The following is a 15,747-nucleotide window of genomic DNA, read 5'->3' on the forward strand; positions in this document are numbered from 1 at the left end:
TTTTTTACTTCTTGTAAAAGGTGTTGTTACCATTTCCCTGTCACAGTTGAGTGATGCTCGAGGAGATTGCAGTTTCACACAGCTAGTAAGTGGCCAAGCTAAGACCCAGGACCTCTCTAAGATCTGTTGACCTTGAAGAAATTACTCGACCTCCCTGAGGCTTCTCTATCTGTAAAATGGGGCTGATTGCTCTTTATTATCTCTAGGAAAGGCACATGAAATAATAGGTGCTAAAGCTTCTGAGAAACTCAAAGGCTCAGTCAACATATAACACCTGGCATCTGAAAGTAATCATTTGCATGGGTGGTATGTTAACTATGTGTGTCAGAGGCAGCATGGTGGAGTGGTTAAGAGTGGCTCTAGAACTTGGTTGTTTGAGTGCAAATCCTGGTTTTGCCGTTTACCAGCTGGATGACCTTGGACGAGTTCCTTACCCTCTTTATACTCAGCTGTAAAATGTGAATGTTTGTAGTATGTAACTCCTAGAATTATTTTGAGGATTAATTGAACATGCTTAGAACAGCACTAGGCACATAGTAAATGCTGTGTGTTAGTTCTTAGTATTTGTATATTTTTGTCAATCACTTGGATGAAGAATTTGAAAGCTAGAAATATAGTTCACAGCTTAAAAGTTGAAACTAGTATTTCCCAGACTGGGAGCAATTTAGTGGAAATAAATATGAAATAGTTTCTGTTTAGGAATAAATAATTTACACAAATTTAAAATGGAATAAGATAGCATTAATGAGAATAATTCTAGCTGCCATTCTCTGAGCAGTTACTGCATGCTCAGTCTTGAGCACTTAAAAAATATAGCTTTAGTAATGGTTATACAACAGCAACATGAATGTACTTAAAGCCACAGAACTGTATACTTAAAAATGGTAAAAGTGGTAAATTTTATGTTATCTCACAATATACCCTAATTCATCCTCTCAGAAAGCCTCTGAAGTAAATATTACCTCCATTTTGTAACTTAAGAAACAGAGAAATTGAAATAATTTTCCCAAAGTTACACAGTTAGCATGTAAGAGACTATTGCCATCCTAATGGCAATATTTTATTGCCATCAAATATGATTCCTAAAATTTACCCATTCCTATAGTGCCTTGGAGATGGCACTATTAGAATGGGTAAATTTTAGGAATCATATTTGACTCTAAAGAGGACTACACTGTGAACAATCATTAATTGGGAAGTGTATATTTGCCAGAAATTATATGACAGCCATTTGTTTGGATGTAAAACTTTATTCCTTGATTGTCGATATGTAGTTATTTGATTGATCTTATCTTGGAAAAATTTAGGAACATAATGTTAATTTGCGTAAATGTAACAAGTTCTAGACATATACAGTGATTTATATTCTTTAGTCATTTTCTTTTTAGAGGTCCATTAGCAGTTTTTAGTTTGGTGGTGAAGTATACATTTTGATGCTTCCTACTGCCATTAAAGTTAATGTTCCAGATGTTACATACTGTCTAAGAGTTTTAGCTCTTCTGATTGCAGATGCTACAGATATTTTTTTCTTTACTAGGCCTTTTTATTGGTATTTCATTGGTTTTCCTTATTAGTAAAAGACGAAGTTTCTGGAAGTACTTCCCCCCCATTGTACTTTATCATTTTAACATTTTATTTTCATAAAGTAAGGCAGTACACAGGAATAAGCACAGGCATGTATTTTTCTCTTATCTGCCAGAGTTCTGACATAAGTAGGAATTGCTTGAACAGTTGAAATGATCTTCTCAGTGATAAAAGATACATTTTCCTACCCATCCAGTCAATCTTGATTTCTTTCCCTTCATACCAGTATTTGAAAGATGATAGAAACTACACTCTATTAAATGACTACATTTAGTTTAGAGATTACACCCTGCTAACATAACTGAAAATAAATAGTAATGAATATTTTACTGTTTTTATATCTCAAAGGTTTTTATATTGAATTTTAAGTATATCTTAATATAAATCTGGTTGAATTGATAGTCTCAAAATATTTTGATTGCTGTCATCTCTGAGGAAATGTACACACAAAAAATGCCATGGAGATTTGCCCTTTATCCTGATTTGTTTATTATTATCAATACTTTAGATAAATAATAATTTTTTAATTAGGCAATTACAACGTGCCATATATCATACTAGGCTTCTTATATACATTATTCTCATTTTTGTCATTGTACGACTCTGTAAGTACAATTTTTTTTTATTTAGGTTTCTTTTTTTTTTTTTTTTTCCCCAGAGACAGGATCTCACTCTGTCACCCAGGCTGGAGTGCGGTGGTGTGATCATGGCTTACTGCAGCCTGAAACTCCTAGGCTCAAGTGATCCTCCTACCTCAGCCTCCTGAGAAGCTCGGACTACAGGCACGAGCCACCATGCCCAGCTAATTTTCTTTTTTTGTTTTGTTTTGTAGAGATGTGGTCTCACTATGTTTCCCAGGCTGGTCTTAAACTCCCGGCCTCAAGCAGTCCTCCCACTTCGGCCTCCTGAAGTGTTAGGATTACAGGCGTGAGCCTGCGCCTGGCTGTAATTACTATACCCAGTTTTTACAGATAAAGGATCTGAGACATGCAGAGGTTTTAAGCTGACTTGCCTGACACCCCATTGCTAGTAAGTAGTAGAACCAGGAGTTGGATTTAGCAGTCTGGCTGTAGAGTCATCAATAGTTTGCACATGACAGAAAGCTGGAAGAAATAGTCAACCTGAAACACATGATGGAATTATAATTCAGAATCATCTTGGTAGATAGGGGCACTGTGCTTAAACAAAATGCCATTAATGGGATTATAATAAATATAATGTGGTAGAATTCAAGTTTTGTTTGCCAATTCAACACATCATCTGTTACTAACGCAGCTTTAAAAAATGCATAAACGATTATACTACATTAATTTTTTTAAAAAGTATCCTGTTTATGGTCTGATTATGCCTGGAGTATTATTTTATATTTTTGACTTCATGTTTTAAGAGACAATCATGCCAGAGTCCCACATGAGGGTGACTAAAATGGACAAAAAGTCTGGAAACTTTCATATCAATAATTGATTATGTATTAACTGAAACAAAAGACTAGAGAAAGACACAGTGGGAATTGATTATGTATTAACTGAGGAATAAAAGACTGAAGAAAGACATAATAAATAGTTAAAGGATTATGGAAAAGATGGTGTTCAGAAAAAAATTAACATGCAGGCCTGAGACTGCTATCCCTAGAAAGGTCTGCTTGCAAAGTTGGCCCTTGGCTGGCATCTGGGGGAACTTGGTTCTTGGATGGATTCCTGCCATTCACTGATAAGAATGGCTCACCTTGCCTAAAGTATATGAAGAGTGTGCTTTATGTCGAGCTCCTGCTTGCTTGCCTCTTTCTTTGTCTTTCTTTCTTTTCCTTCCTCCCTTCCTTCCTTCCTTCCTTCCTTCCTTCCTTCCTTCCTTCCTTCCTTCCTTCCTTCCTCTCTCTCTCTCTTTCTTTCTTTCTTCTTTCTGGAATTTTGGTACAGGCTAGGCAGAATGTGCCTAGATGATCAGCTCCTAGTAAAAACCTTGAGAACTAAGTCTCTAATGAGCCTCCCTGATCATTTCATGCGTGTTGTTATAACTCATCACTGGAGGAATTAATTATGCCCTCTGTGACTGCAGTGGGAGACAACTTTTAGAAGTTTGCACCTGGTTTCCTCCAAATTTCACCCCATGTGCCTTTTCCCTCTGCGATTTTGCTTGGTATTCAGTGTAATAAATCATAGCTAAGAGTATGACTGTATACTTTGAGTTCTCCCAGTGAATCACTGAATCTAGAGATGGTCTTGGGGACCCCTGACACAGATGGATTAGTGTTATTTTTTTTGTTTATGAGAAAGCCAAATTAGGACCAATGAATGGTGATTAGAATGAAATATTTGATTGACTTCAGAGAAAAATGTCTACCACTTGAGCTTTCTTCAGTAATGGAGCAGCCTGACAGTCTCACTCTGTCACTCAGGCTGGAGTGCACTGACATGATCTCAACCCACTGCAACCTCCGCCTCCCGGGTTCAAGCGATTCTCATGCCTCAGCCTCCCAGGTGGCTGGGATTGCAGGTGCCCACCACCATGCCCGACTAATTTTTGTATTTTTAGTACAGACGGAGTTTCACCATGTTAGCCAGGCTGGGCTTGAACTCCTGACCTCAAGTGATCCGCCCACCTCGGCTTCCCAAAGTGCTGGGATCACAGGCTTGAGCCACCTCACCCAGCCCAGATAAGGGACATTTTTGAAGTAATGTGTGCACTAAGTAGAAGAACATTGGATCTGTATTTTGGGTTGGGTTTTTTAATCTTTATTTATTTTATTTATTTATTTTTTGAGATGGAGTCTTGCTCTGTTGCCCAGGCTGGAGTGCAGTGGTGCGATCTTGGCTCACTGCAAGCTCTGCCTCCCGGGTTCACGCCATTCTCCTGCCTCAGCCTCCCGAGTAGCTGGGACTACAGGTGCCCGCCACCATGCCCGGCTAATTTTTTTGTATTTTTAGTAGAGATGGGGTTTCACCATGTTAGCCAGGATGGTCTCAATCTCCTGACCTCATGATCCACCCGCCTTAGCCTCCCAAAGTGCTGGGATTACAGGCGTAAGCCACTGTGCCTGGCCAGGTTTTTTAATCTTAAAAAATCTGATTATGCCAGGCATTGTGGTTCATGCCTGTATTATTTTTTAAATACCTGGTGAGAAACTTAAATTTGCCATTTAATCTGGTAGCCTTCAGCTACCTCTTTTGGCGTGATTTTTGCTGTTTCATAGGCAGCAATCTCAGCTTGAAGACTTTCTCTCATTTACTGGAAGGACGAAGAATAGAACATGTGCCTCTTGTAAGTAGTGCCAGTAGCTAGTGATTTTACCATCTTAGTCACCTTGATCTCTCTGATTCTCTGCTTTCATAATTTGAAAGAGCAAACAAAAAATCAGTCCCAATGATATGCAGTACTAGTACCCTTCCCAGAGTGGTCATTCAGATGAATGCATGCCTTTGGGATCTGAATTTTTTTTATAGCAATAAATGTACCTCCAGTTAAGGTTCCACTGGAACTCATGCAATGAAAGGTCATCCTTGGTTTATGGTGTATGGGAGTATTATAGTCCATTGTGTTTTCTCCCCTGACCATCACAAGAAGCTCAGCTGTTTTGTAGTTACAGCTACTTTTAAAATATGCTTGGTCAAATAATATTTATAAGCAGCTTTAGAAAGGGCCAGCCAATTCATTCTACAGCTACTGACAAATCTTAGAGCTAAATTGGAAAGATTATGAAATCTTCTTTAAATACTTCAAAGAGAAGCACAATGAAGATAAGGGAATCCTGGCAAGATGTGCTGCAGCTGTCAGGTCCTGAAAAATTAGGAATCAAATTTTGACACTTGTAATTGAATCATCCACCCTTCTAAGTGAGCCTAGGCAAACCTGTGATATTTTTAGAACCTTTCAAATCACATTGTACTCTTTAGAGTTCATAGCAGGACCTGAGGCCCCTAAAATTTCCCAAGAGAAAGAACAAAACAGAATCAAATAAATTTGGCTCAGTTCACTGTAATAGAAGTGTAGTGTATTATGCATGCAGTCTAGGTAATGCCACACTTTTAACCCCAAATTTTAAAAGTTTTCATGGATTTTTTTTTTTTTTCTGGAGAATTAACTGCTTGGACAGCAGTGGAAGCACCCGTTAGAGATAGTAACAGCTGTGTGGTGGTGATTTGATTTATAATAGAAGCACAGAGACCTTGGATGGTGTGATTAACTGTGTTCCACAGATGGATGTTCCTGTGTCACAAATTTCATTTAATACAGATTTCTACCCGCATATATCATATCGATTATTACAGACTCTCTTAAAAGACTGAGCAGTTAACTAGCCACTACCATATGTAGATAATTACATTGCTTATGCTTGACTTGGTGAGATTTTCTAATTTACAGTTGAAAATGTGCCACTAACAGGTTAGAAAAGGTTAGAATAGTATTTTTATGTGTATTTATGTGGGACTAGTTATGATGCGTGATTTTAAAAGACTGTCATTTTAGCAAATAACAAAGGCTGCTTTGAACATTTTCTCTTGCCTTAAAACAAAGAGCAACTCTGAGACCAGACTTCAGGGAATCCAAATAATTTATTGGAGCGTGACATGATGGCCTTTTCAGGTTTTCTTCAAGTCTGAAGTTCTGTCTAGAGCACAAGACACTGACAAATGAGCAGAAAGACTGTGGGCTTTGTGTATATTCATGCCACTCCTAAACAGTTGGTTCTATCTCATCTCGTGCCTAACTCCCTTGGGCCAATTCCTGTAGTTGTCTATGCTTATACATCGTTTGATGAAATAACTGACAAAGATGTGATTTAATTAAGAAATGGAAAATAGCATGGATGTTGGACTAGCAGGATTTGAAGACAAAAGTGTTCATTCTAGTTATTTTTTCTAACTTACTGAACTTTGGTAAGTAGTATTAATTTCTCTGTAGGTTTCCTAGTGCTTTTTTATTTTAAAAAATGGTTCTGGCCAGACGTGGTGGCTCAGGCCTGTAATCCCAGCACTTTGGGAGGCCGAGGCAGGAGGATCACCTGAGGTCAGGCGTTCTAGACCAGCCTGGCCAACGTGATGAAACCCTGTCTCCACTAAAAATAGAAAAATTTGCCTCTGCCTCTGCCTCTGCCTCTGCCTCCTCTGCCTCCTCTGCCTCCTCTGCCTCTGCCTCTGCCTCTCCCCATGGTCTCCCTCTCCCCACGGTCTCCCTCTCCCCACGGTCTCCCTCTCCCTCTCTTTCCACGGTCTCCCTCTGATGCCGAGCTGAAGCTGGACTGTACTGCTGCCATCTCGGCTCACTGCAACCTCCCTGCCTGATTCTCCTGCCTCAGCCTGCCGAGTGCCTGCAATTGCAGGCGCGCGCCGCCACGCCTGACTGGTTTTCGTATTTTTTTGGTGGAGACAGGGTTTCGCTGTGTTGGCCGGGCTGGTCTCCAGCTCCTAACCGCGAGTGATCCGCCAGCCTCGGCCTCCGGAGGTGCCGGGATTGCAGATGGTGTCTGGTTCACTCAGTGCTCAATGGTGCCCAGGCTGGAGTGCAGTGGCGTGATCTCGTGTCGCTACAACCTCCACCCCCCAGCCGCCTGCCTTGGCCTCCCAAAGTGCCCAGAGTGCAGCCTCTGCCCGGCCGCCACCCCGTCTAGGAAGTGAGGAGCGTCTCTGCCTGGCCGCCCATCGTCTGGGATGTGAGGAGCCCCTCTGCCTGGCTGCCCAGTCTGGAAAGTGAGGAGCGTCTCCGCCCGGCAGCCGCCCCGTCCGGGAGGGAGGTGGGGGTCAGCCCCCGCCAGGCCAGCCGCCCTGTCCAGGAGGGAGGTGGGGGGGTCAGCCCCCCACCCGGCCAGCCGCCCCGTCCAGGAGGTGAGGGGCGCCTCTGCCCAGCTGCCCCTACTGGGAAGTGAGGAGCCCCTCTGCCCGACCAGCCGCCCCATCCGGGAGGGAGGTGGGGGGGTCAGCCCCCCGCCCGGCCAGCCGCCCCGTCCAGGAGGGAGGTGGGGGGGTCAGCCCCCCGCCCAGCCAGCCGCCCCGTCCGGGAGGGAGGTGGGGGTTCAGCCCCCCACCCGGCCAGCCGCCCCGTCCGGGAGGTGAGGGGCGCCTCTGCCCGGCCGCCCCTACTGGGAAGTGAGGAGCCTCTCTGCCCGGCCAGCCACCCCGTCCGGGAGGGAGGTGGGGGGGTCAGCCCCCCGCCCGGCCAGCCGCCTCGTCCGGGAGGTGAGGGGCGCCTCTGCCCGGCCGCCCCTACTGGGAAGTGAGGAGCCCCTCTGCCCGGCCACCATCCCGTCTGGGAGGTGTGCCCAACAGCTCATTGAGAACAGGCCATGATGACAATGGTGGTTTTGTGGAATAGAAAGCGGGGAAAGGTGGGGAAAAGATTGAGAAATAGGATGGTTGCCGTGTCTGTGTGGAAAGAAGTAGACATGGGAGACTTTTCATTTTGTTCTGTACTAAGAAAAATTCTTCTGCCTTGGGATCCTGTTGATCTGTGACCTTATCCCCCAACCCTGTGCTCTCTGAAACATGTGCTGTGTCCACTCAGGGTTAAATGGATTAAGGGCAGTGCAAGATGTGCTTTGTTAAACAGATGCTTGAAGGCAGCATGCTGGTTAAGAGTCATCACCACTCCCTAATCTCAAGTACCCAGGGACACAAACACTGCGGAAGGCCTCAGGGTCCTCTGCCTAGGAAAACCAGAGACCTTTGTTCACTTGTTTATCTGCTGACCTTCCCTCCACTATTGTCCTATGACCCTGCCAAATCCCCCTCTGTGAGAAACACCCAAGAATGATCAATAAAAAAAAAAAGAAAGAAAAAAAAAGAAAAATTAGGCCGGGCACGGTGGCTCACGCCTGTAATCCCAGCACTTTGGGAGACTGAGGCGGGTGGATCATGAGGTCAGGAGATCGAGACCATCCTGGCTAACACAGTGAAACCCCATCTCTACTAAAAATACAAAAAAATTAGCCAGGCATGGTGGCGGACGCCTATAGTCCCAGCTACTCGGGAGGCTGAGGCAGGAGAATGGCGTGAACCCGGGAGGCGGGGCTTGCAGTGAGCCAAGATCGCGCCACTGCACTCCAGCCTGGGCGACAGAGCAAGACTCCGTCTCAAAAAAAAAAAAAAAAAAAAAAAAAAAAAATTAGCCGGGTGTGGTGGTGTGCCTGTAATCCCAGCTACTTAGGAGGCTGAGGCCAGAGAATTGCTTGAACCTGGGAGGCGGAGGTTGCAGTGACCCGAGATTGCACCATTGCATTCCAGCCTGGGAGACAAGAGCAAGACTCCGTCTCAGAAAAAAAAAAAAAAAAAAAATGGCTTTGTGTTTCTTAAACAATGTAAAGTGCTTATTATATGATAGTCTTGTCAAGTCTTCACAGCTAATTACTTTGAAAATCATTTTCATGCCAGATATTGAGGGAGAAAATTTGCAGCAGGAGCAGTAATTCTTGTTTCACATAAATATCTAGAATGATGCCTGGAATCCAATAATTCTTTTGAGTTCCTGATAAGCGAAAAGCATTTATAAATGGTTACATTCTTAGAGAAATAAACTGCCTATCCATTACAAAAGCTAGCCCAGATTCTGATCATTACTCTTAAAGGTTGTAAAACATACTAAATACACAAAAGGAAAAAGAACATCTGTCAATTTCCATTTTGATCACAGGGGAGCCGAGTCTTTAAAATTGGTCCTGAAGCCAGAAGCTAGCACTATAAAGCATTAGTCCATTACAAAACCCAAATGCACGCAGAGATAAAGATTAGAGTTTCACACAACTGAGTACTCTCTCAGCACCTGCTAGCATAAACCATAAAGTATTAATCTTATTTGATCTCAGCATCTAAAATGATAGCTGCTCTTTCATAGAAGACTAATTTAGATTACAAATGTATATGGGTACAAATGATTAGTAATAGCTGCTATAATGGGCTTCCCTGCCCAGTAGCAAGCTTTGTAGTTTACTTTACTGACAAATTCATTTGGTTTACCTGTTATGATACACTATGGGAAGCTTTTTCCTTAATGTTCTAAGGATTTGTTGCTTACCTCCTATGCCTTTAAAAATTATTTTTTTCCTTTATAGCTAAAGGTGACTGGCTGAGAGTTCTTTATAATATCTTGCCCAGCTACTGCAAAGGCTGAGTGGATTAATATTTTGGCACACTCACAATATTTGTGGCACGTGCATGTACCAGAGCATACCCCATTTAGGAAGGTCTGCTCTGGAGCAGTGCTACTCAAAGTGTGGTCTGAAGACTAGTTTCAGTCCAGAGACTGTTAGTTTCTTCTAATCTGCAGCCATATAAATTGAGAGGAAACATTTAGAAACCCTTATAGTCATTTGATCTCGGTATTTTCGTTATTTTACAAAAGTATCTGATGCACATATGTTTAGAAATTTTTTAAAAAACTCGTCCTTTAACAGATAGTTTGAAAAGTCCTGCTACTTGTAAAAGTGGAGTTGGTGAGCCATAGAATATGTATAGTGTCTGCTTCAGTAGACAAGCCAAGTTGTTTTCCAGACCATTGCTCTAAATTATATATCTCCCTCTCTACTTCCTCCACATCATCACCAACACTTGGTATTGAAAGATTTTTTATTTTTGCCAGTTGGGTAGGTGTGAAAATGGTATCTCATTGTTTTATTTATTTATTTATTTATTTTTAGACAGAGTCTGTCTCTGTTGCCCAGTATCTTCTCTGGCATTGAGAAATTTGGCTCCCTTTTTCTATATTGCATTTATTTATTTGCTCAATCAATAAACTTGCTTGTTTGCTCAATTTAAATAATCTATCAACTACTCCAGCCTCCTTCTTTACACACCAATCCTGTGTCCCCATCCCACCAACCACATTTTCACCCTCTGTGTCTATGTTTCCACGACTCCTCACTCACCCCTCTGTGTCCTCAGCTGCCAGGCCTGCTAGCCTATGTCTCTGTGTGTTTCCTCAGCCCCTAATCCCATCATTGCATATCCTTGGCCATTCAGCCTGTTGACCTGTACCTCCATTAACTCCCCCTACTACCCTGTGTCCCCAGTCACCAGCCTCCTGGTCCACACTTCTGATACAACTTCCCAAGCCCCCTCATTTCCCAGTATCTTTGACCTCCGGACCCTGTACCCCGCCATGCCTCTATGCAACCTTACTGGCACCTCCATGCAGCTCTCTATTTACTGCCTACCTCTCCAGCTACCATTTTGACCCCTGTAAACCAGGAATGGAAGGGAAAAGGAGGGCAATTTTTACTCTTATTCTCATCTGAGTGTACAGCAGAGTTTACCAGAGGCTTCACAAATGATCAGGCCATTGCTCTGGCCGCTAATGGAATGAGTACTTGTGTTTTATAAGTCTGAAGATTTAGCTTCAATGTGTTCATCAGTTTTGTTTTTTGTATGACATTGAAGATCCAAAAATAACCTAAAATCCAAATGATAATTAAAAGAAACCACCAATGGAAGAAAAAACATTGATAATGTGTTTTCTTTTTTCTAATTAATTCTGGAATAGTAGAGCCCTTAGAATGCTTTGATGGCCACCTATTGCTTAATCGTATGTAACTGTGATTGATCTGACCCAGACTACTCTTCCATTAGTTATTATATATAATGAATATCAAATAATAACCAATCAGCATAGAACACACTCAGTAATTTGTAGGTTTGTTCTTTCATCAAAAACATTTATAGCTTTCAGCTTTTAAAAATAGTTCTGGAGTACAGCAAGATAGAGAAGGGGAAAATTGGCCTCTATATTACAGAGGATAGCAGATGAACAGGGTTGATTTCATTTTGGGCACTTTGCCCAGGACACTTTTAATAGCATATATAGTTACTCTAGGGATTCTGAATCTGTGGTTATGTCAGGCTTACACATTTATTCTTTAAAAGGAAAATTTGCAAGTTATTAGACTTCAGGTACATTAGTATGACTTAAATTTTTAATTTTTAAAGAAGTTTCTGTAACGCAGTCATTGAAAATTTGTGGTGTGAGGGCTGGATTCCTTAATATTAAAACTAACCTAATCATGGATAGAAAAATATTTTAAACTTTCTTCTTCTAAAACACAGTGTGTTCCTCAGTTCTTTCAAAGTTTGTTTTTTTGTTTTGTTTTGTTTTGTTTTGTTTTGTTTGAGACAGAATCTCGCTCTGTCGCTCAGGCTGGAGTGCAGTGGCACAATCTCGGCTCACTGCAACCTCTGCTTCCCAGGTTCAAGCAATTCTCATGCCTCAGCCTCCCTAGTAGCTGGGATTACGGGCACACACCACCACGCCCAGCTTATTTTTTGTATTTTTAGTAGGGACGGAGTTTGGCCATACTGGCCAGGCTGGTCTCAAACTCCTGAGCTCACGCAGTCCCCCCACCTCAGCCTCCCAAAGTGCTAGGATTACAGGTATGAGCCACCGCACCTGACCAGCTCTTTCAAAGTTTAAGTCAAATTTTAAAAGATGTCTAAACTAGGAATTGGAAGTTTATTTTAACGTGAAGAATTTTTAATCTTAGTATTTTAAAGGAATTTTTGTATACTCAGGAATCAAGTATTTTAGAAAAAAATTAAATTTTAGAGATGGTGTACTTTCTATTTCACTACTTTATAATTTAGAATTATTAACCTTAGAATTTGCTTTCAAAATTGGAAGGAAAAGCCGGGCGCAGTGGCTCATGCCTGTAATCCTAGCACTTTGGGAGGCCAAGGTGGGCGGATCACCTGAGGTCAGGAGTTCAAGACCAGCCTGGCCAACATGGTGAAACCCCATCTCTACTAAAAATACAAAAATTAGCCAGGCATGGTGGCGTGTGCCTGTAATCCCAGCTACCCGGGAGGCCGAGGCAGGAAAATTGCTAGAACCCTGGAGGCAGAGGCTGCAGTGAGCCAAGATTGCGCCACTGTACTCCAGCCTAGGTGACAGAGCGAGACTCTGTCTCAAAGAAAAAAAAAATTGGAAGGAAAAATATCAATGTGGGCTGGGCACAGTTGCTCATGCCTGTAATCCCAGCACTTTGGGAGGCCAAGGTGGGCAGATGACCTGACGTCAGGAGTTCAAGACCAGCCTGGCCAACATGGTGAAACCCCGTCTCTACTAAAAATACAAAAATTAGCCTGGCATGGTAGCAGGCACCTGTAATCCCAGCTACTTGGGAGGCTGAGGCAGGAGATTTGCTTGAACCTGTGAGGTGGAGGTTGCAGTGAGGGGAGATTGTGCGGCTGCACTCCAGCCTTAGAGACAAGAGCAAGACTCCATCTCAAAAAAAAAAAAAAAAGAAAGAAAGAAAAATACCAATATGGTAATAGAGCTTGTGTTGAGATAGTGGCTTTGAGTGAACTTTTCCTTTTTTCTGTTTTCCAAAATTTCAACAATATGTTCATTACTTTTATTATTTATAAAATTATTTATTAACTATCCCCCAAAATTAGCTTTAAGAAGCACTGGACATTAAAAAGGCTAAGATTCTTTTTTTTTTTTGAGATGGAGTCTCACTCTGTCGCCCAGGCTGGAGTGCAGTGGCGTGATCTCGGCTCACTGCAACCTCCGCCTCCCGGGTTCAAGCAATTCTCCTGCCTCAGCCTCCTGAGTAGCTGGGACTACAGGCACATGCCACTACGCCCGGCTAATTTTTTGTATTTTTAGTAGAGATGGGGTTTCACCATGTTGGCCAGGCTGGTTTGGAACTCCTAACCTCAAGTGATCTAACTGTCTTGGCCTCCCAAAGTGTTAGGATTATAGGCGTGAGCCACCACATCCAGCCTTGAATTCCTTTAAATATTATGCTACTTTGTTTGCTCTTCCAAACTCTAGTTGGTATTACTTAATAATGGGGTCTTTCCATTAGAGTTGTAACTTTTTTCCATTATTAGTTATAACTTTGATATGATGGGTAGGTAAATAGATAAATTAGATAGCTATGAGTCTTCACTAACTTGGGATATTCTTAGCTTTTTAACATTTCGATGGGTACCATCCCAGTGTCTCAGATGCTTGATAGCAATATATAGTCACAGTACATTTCTTAAGTGATAAATAGTAGCTACAAGTGTTGATGGTTCCGGTTGGCTATATTAGTCCCAGTAGTCCAATGGACTGCTACCAAAATAGTACAGTACATGAGATATACCATGATAAAACCACAACCAGAATTGTGGTCATTAATCTCCTACTTTTTCTTCTTTTTTGACCTTTTTATTTTTATAAGGTTGTCTTTCTGTTTTCCTAATCCTTATTTGTAAAGTCTAAAATGAATAGCTTTTATATAAGGATTTAGAATATTTTAAGGCCAGGCACGGTGACTCATGCCTGTAATCCCAGCACTTTGGGAGGCCAAGGCGGGTGAATCACTTGAGCTGAGGAGTTCAAAACCAGCCTGGGCAACATAGGGAAACCCCATCTTTACAAAAAATGCAAAAATTAGCCAGGCGTGGTGCTCTGCACCTGTGGTCCTCCTACTCTGGAGGCTGAGGCAGGAGAATTGCTTGATCCCAGGAGGTTAAGGCTGCAATGAACTGTTATCACACCACTGCACTCCAGCCTGGGCAACAGAGCAAACCCTATCTCGAAATTATATATATATATATATATATATATATATATATATATATATATATATATACACACACACACACACACACACACACACACACATTTTATATGTATACATATATTAAACATATACACATAATATATATATATAATATATGTACATATAATGGGTCAAAAAATTAAAAACACAAAATATTTAAACATTGTGGGTGACAGAGTGAGATTTGGTCTCAAACAAATAAATAAATAAAGGAATTCATTTGGTAAGTACTATTTATTATCTGTTATGTATTAGGCACTGTGCCAGACACAGAGGATACAACGTAGAGTTGCTTAGAGCAAGATACTTGCAGGTCCTGCCCTCATCAAGCTTAAGGAATAGTGGGGAAAACAAATACTGAACTGAAGTTTAAAATGATGGCAAACATTACACATAACTGAATAGGCCCTGCAAATAAGTAACAGGAGTTTAACCTGGTTAGGGATGAAGACAGGAAGATGGGGGTTGGGAAGTTTTATAATAAAACTAAATTATTAAGTTATTATATAATATATAATTATTATATAAAGTTTTCTAATAAAACGAAATTATTATATACGTGTGACATGTTGGGAAGTAGAGAAGAAAAAATGTGAATATATTGAGTTTATACAGATGTATGATATTTAGCTACTACTTTTCTACTCATTAGATTACATATTGTGTTTTTTTTACAGTTCAAACGATATGTCAATAAACTTCGAAGCAAGAGTACAGTTTTCAAAAAGAAGCATCAGATAATAGCTGAACTTAAAGCTGAATTCGGTCTTTTGCAGAGGACTGAAGAACTTCTTAAGCAACGTCATGAAAATATTCAACAACAACTGGTAATACAGTATTATCTTGGGCTACTATAAATACAAATGCCAGGAGGTTTATGGGTTACAGCTTTATACTGAAGTCATTGTTTTTACTGGAAAAATGATAAAAGTATTACTTTTCTCTGATTAATTACAGACATGACATATAAGTTGATTCATTTATTTTTAATGTAGCAGTAAGCACTGGCTTTTGTGTGTGTGCTGACTTCGGGGTTATTAATAGAAAAACTTGAATTCCAAGTAGGTTTTTTCTTTTGGTTAGTTAGTTAATATGAGTAAAATTATCATACCAAGAGAGTGACTGTAAAATATTTTTTTATCATGGCCTGCTGGGCAGAAATTTCTAAGCAGCCACTTCCAAGAAGCTTTGGAAAGAAATATCCAGGGAAGTGCTGTGTGGAAGTCTGCCTCCAGGCTTATTCCTTATGTGTTTGTGCCTTGGTTGTCTGAAAAAAGTTAAACCCAAAGTAGTCCCACAGCAAAGTTGTTCTCATTGTGGATGCCAGTTCCTCAGGGTTTCCTTCATTTGGCTTTTTTTTTTCTTTCACCAACGAGGAAACTTTCATCTGGGTGCTGGTTTACCAGCTAGCAATAATCTGGTAGAAGTAAGTGGAATTTCAACCAGTTGTGTTTCCTTTTAACTGGCAATATGAACTGTCTCATGCTGATGAATATTATTTGCTTTTAGGGAACTTAAGACTGAAAATTTACTGTGAATCAACATGGATTCTAACAGCACTAACTTTAAAACTGATAGTAGTAACTGCATTATTGTTTACTTCAAAATATCTTCTAATTTCTATTGTGATT

General features: G+C 41.1%; 1 protein-coding gene across 14 annotated transcripts in view, besides 1 other annotated feature; it reads left to right on the forward strand.

Annotated features, from left to right (window-relative positions):
* The window catches only part of IFT81 (intraflagellar transport 81), a 94,437-nt gene that overhangs the window by 41,272 nt on the left and 37,418 nt on the right, over nt 1-15,747 (forward strand). For 10 of the 14 annotated variants that reach the window (NR_144952.2, NR_144949.2, NR_144951.2 and 7 more), the window contains one exon: nt 14,794-14,943. Coding sequence is in view for 7 of the 14 variants with exons in the window: in XM_017019217.2 (XP_016874706.1) it covers nt 14,794-14,943 (150 nt within the window). In the remaining 7 variants the exon portion in view is untranslated. Of the gene's footprint in view, nt 1-2,242; nt 3,555-14,793; nt 14,944-15,747 lie in introns of those variants that run through there. The other 4 variants (XR_001748670.3, XR_944523.4, NM_031473.4 and 1 more) reach the window with 2 other exon arrangements.
* Nucleotides 6,679-7,459: an enhancer, noted in NCBI's record as "H3K27ac hESC enhancer chr12:110610112-110610892 (GRCh37/hg19 assembly coordinates)". NCBI's record gives its function as "activates a minimal SCP1, AML or CMV promoter by ChIP-STARR-seq in naive and primed H9 embryonic stem cells {active_cell/tissue: H9 hESC(naive and primed)}" and the evidence as "EXISTENCE:reporter gene assay evidence [ECO:0000049][PMID:30033119]".

The sequence above is a fragment of the Homo sapiens genome, chromosome 12 (assembly GCF_000001405.40).
Source record: "Homo sapiens chromosome 12, GRCh38.p14 Primary Assembly".
NCBI lineage: Eukaryota > Metazoa > Chordata > Mammalia > Primates > Hominidae > Homo > Homo sapiens.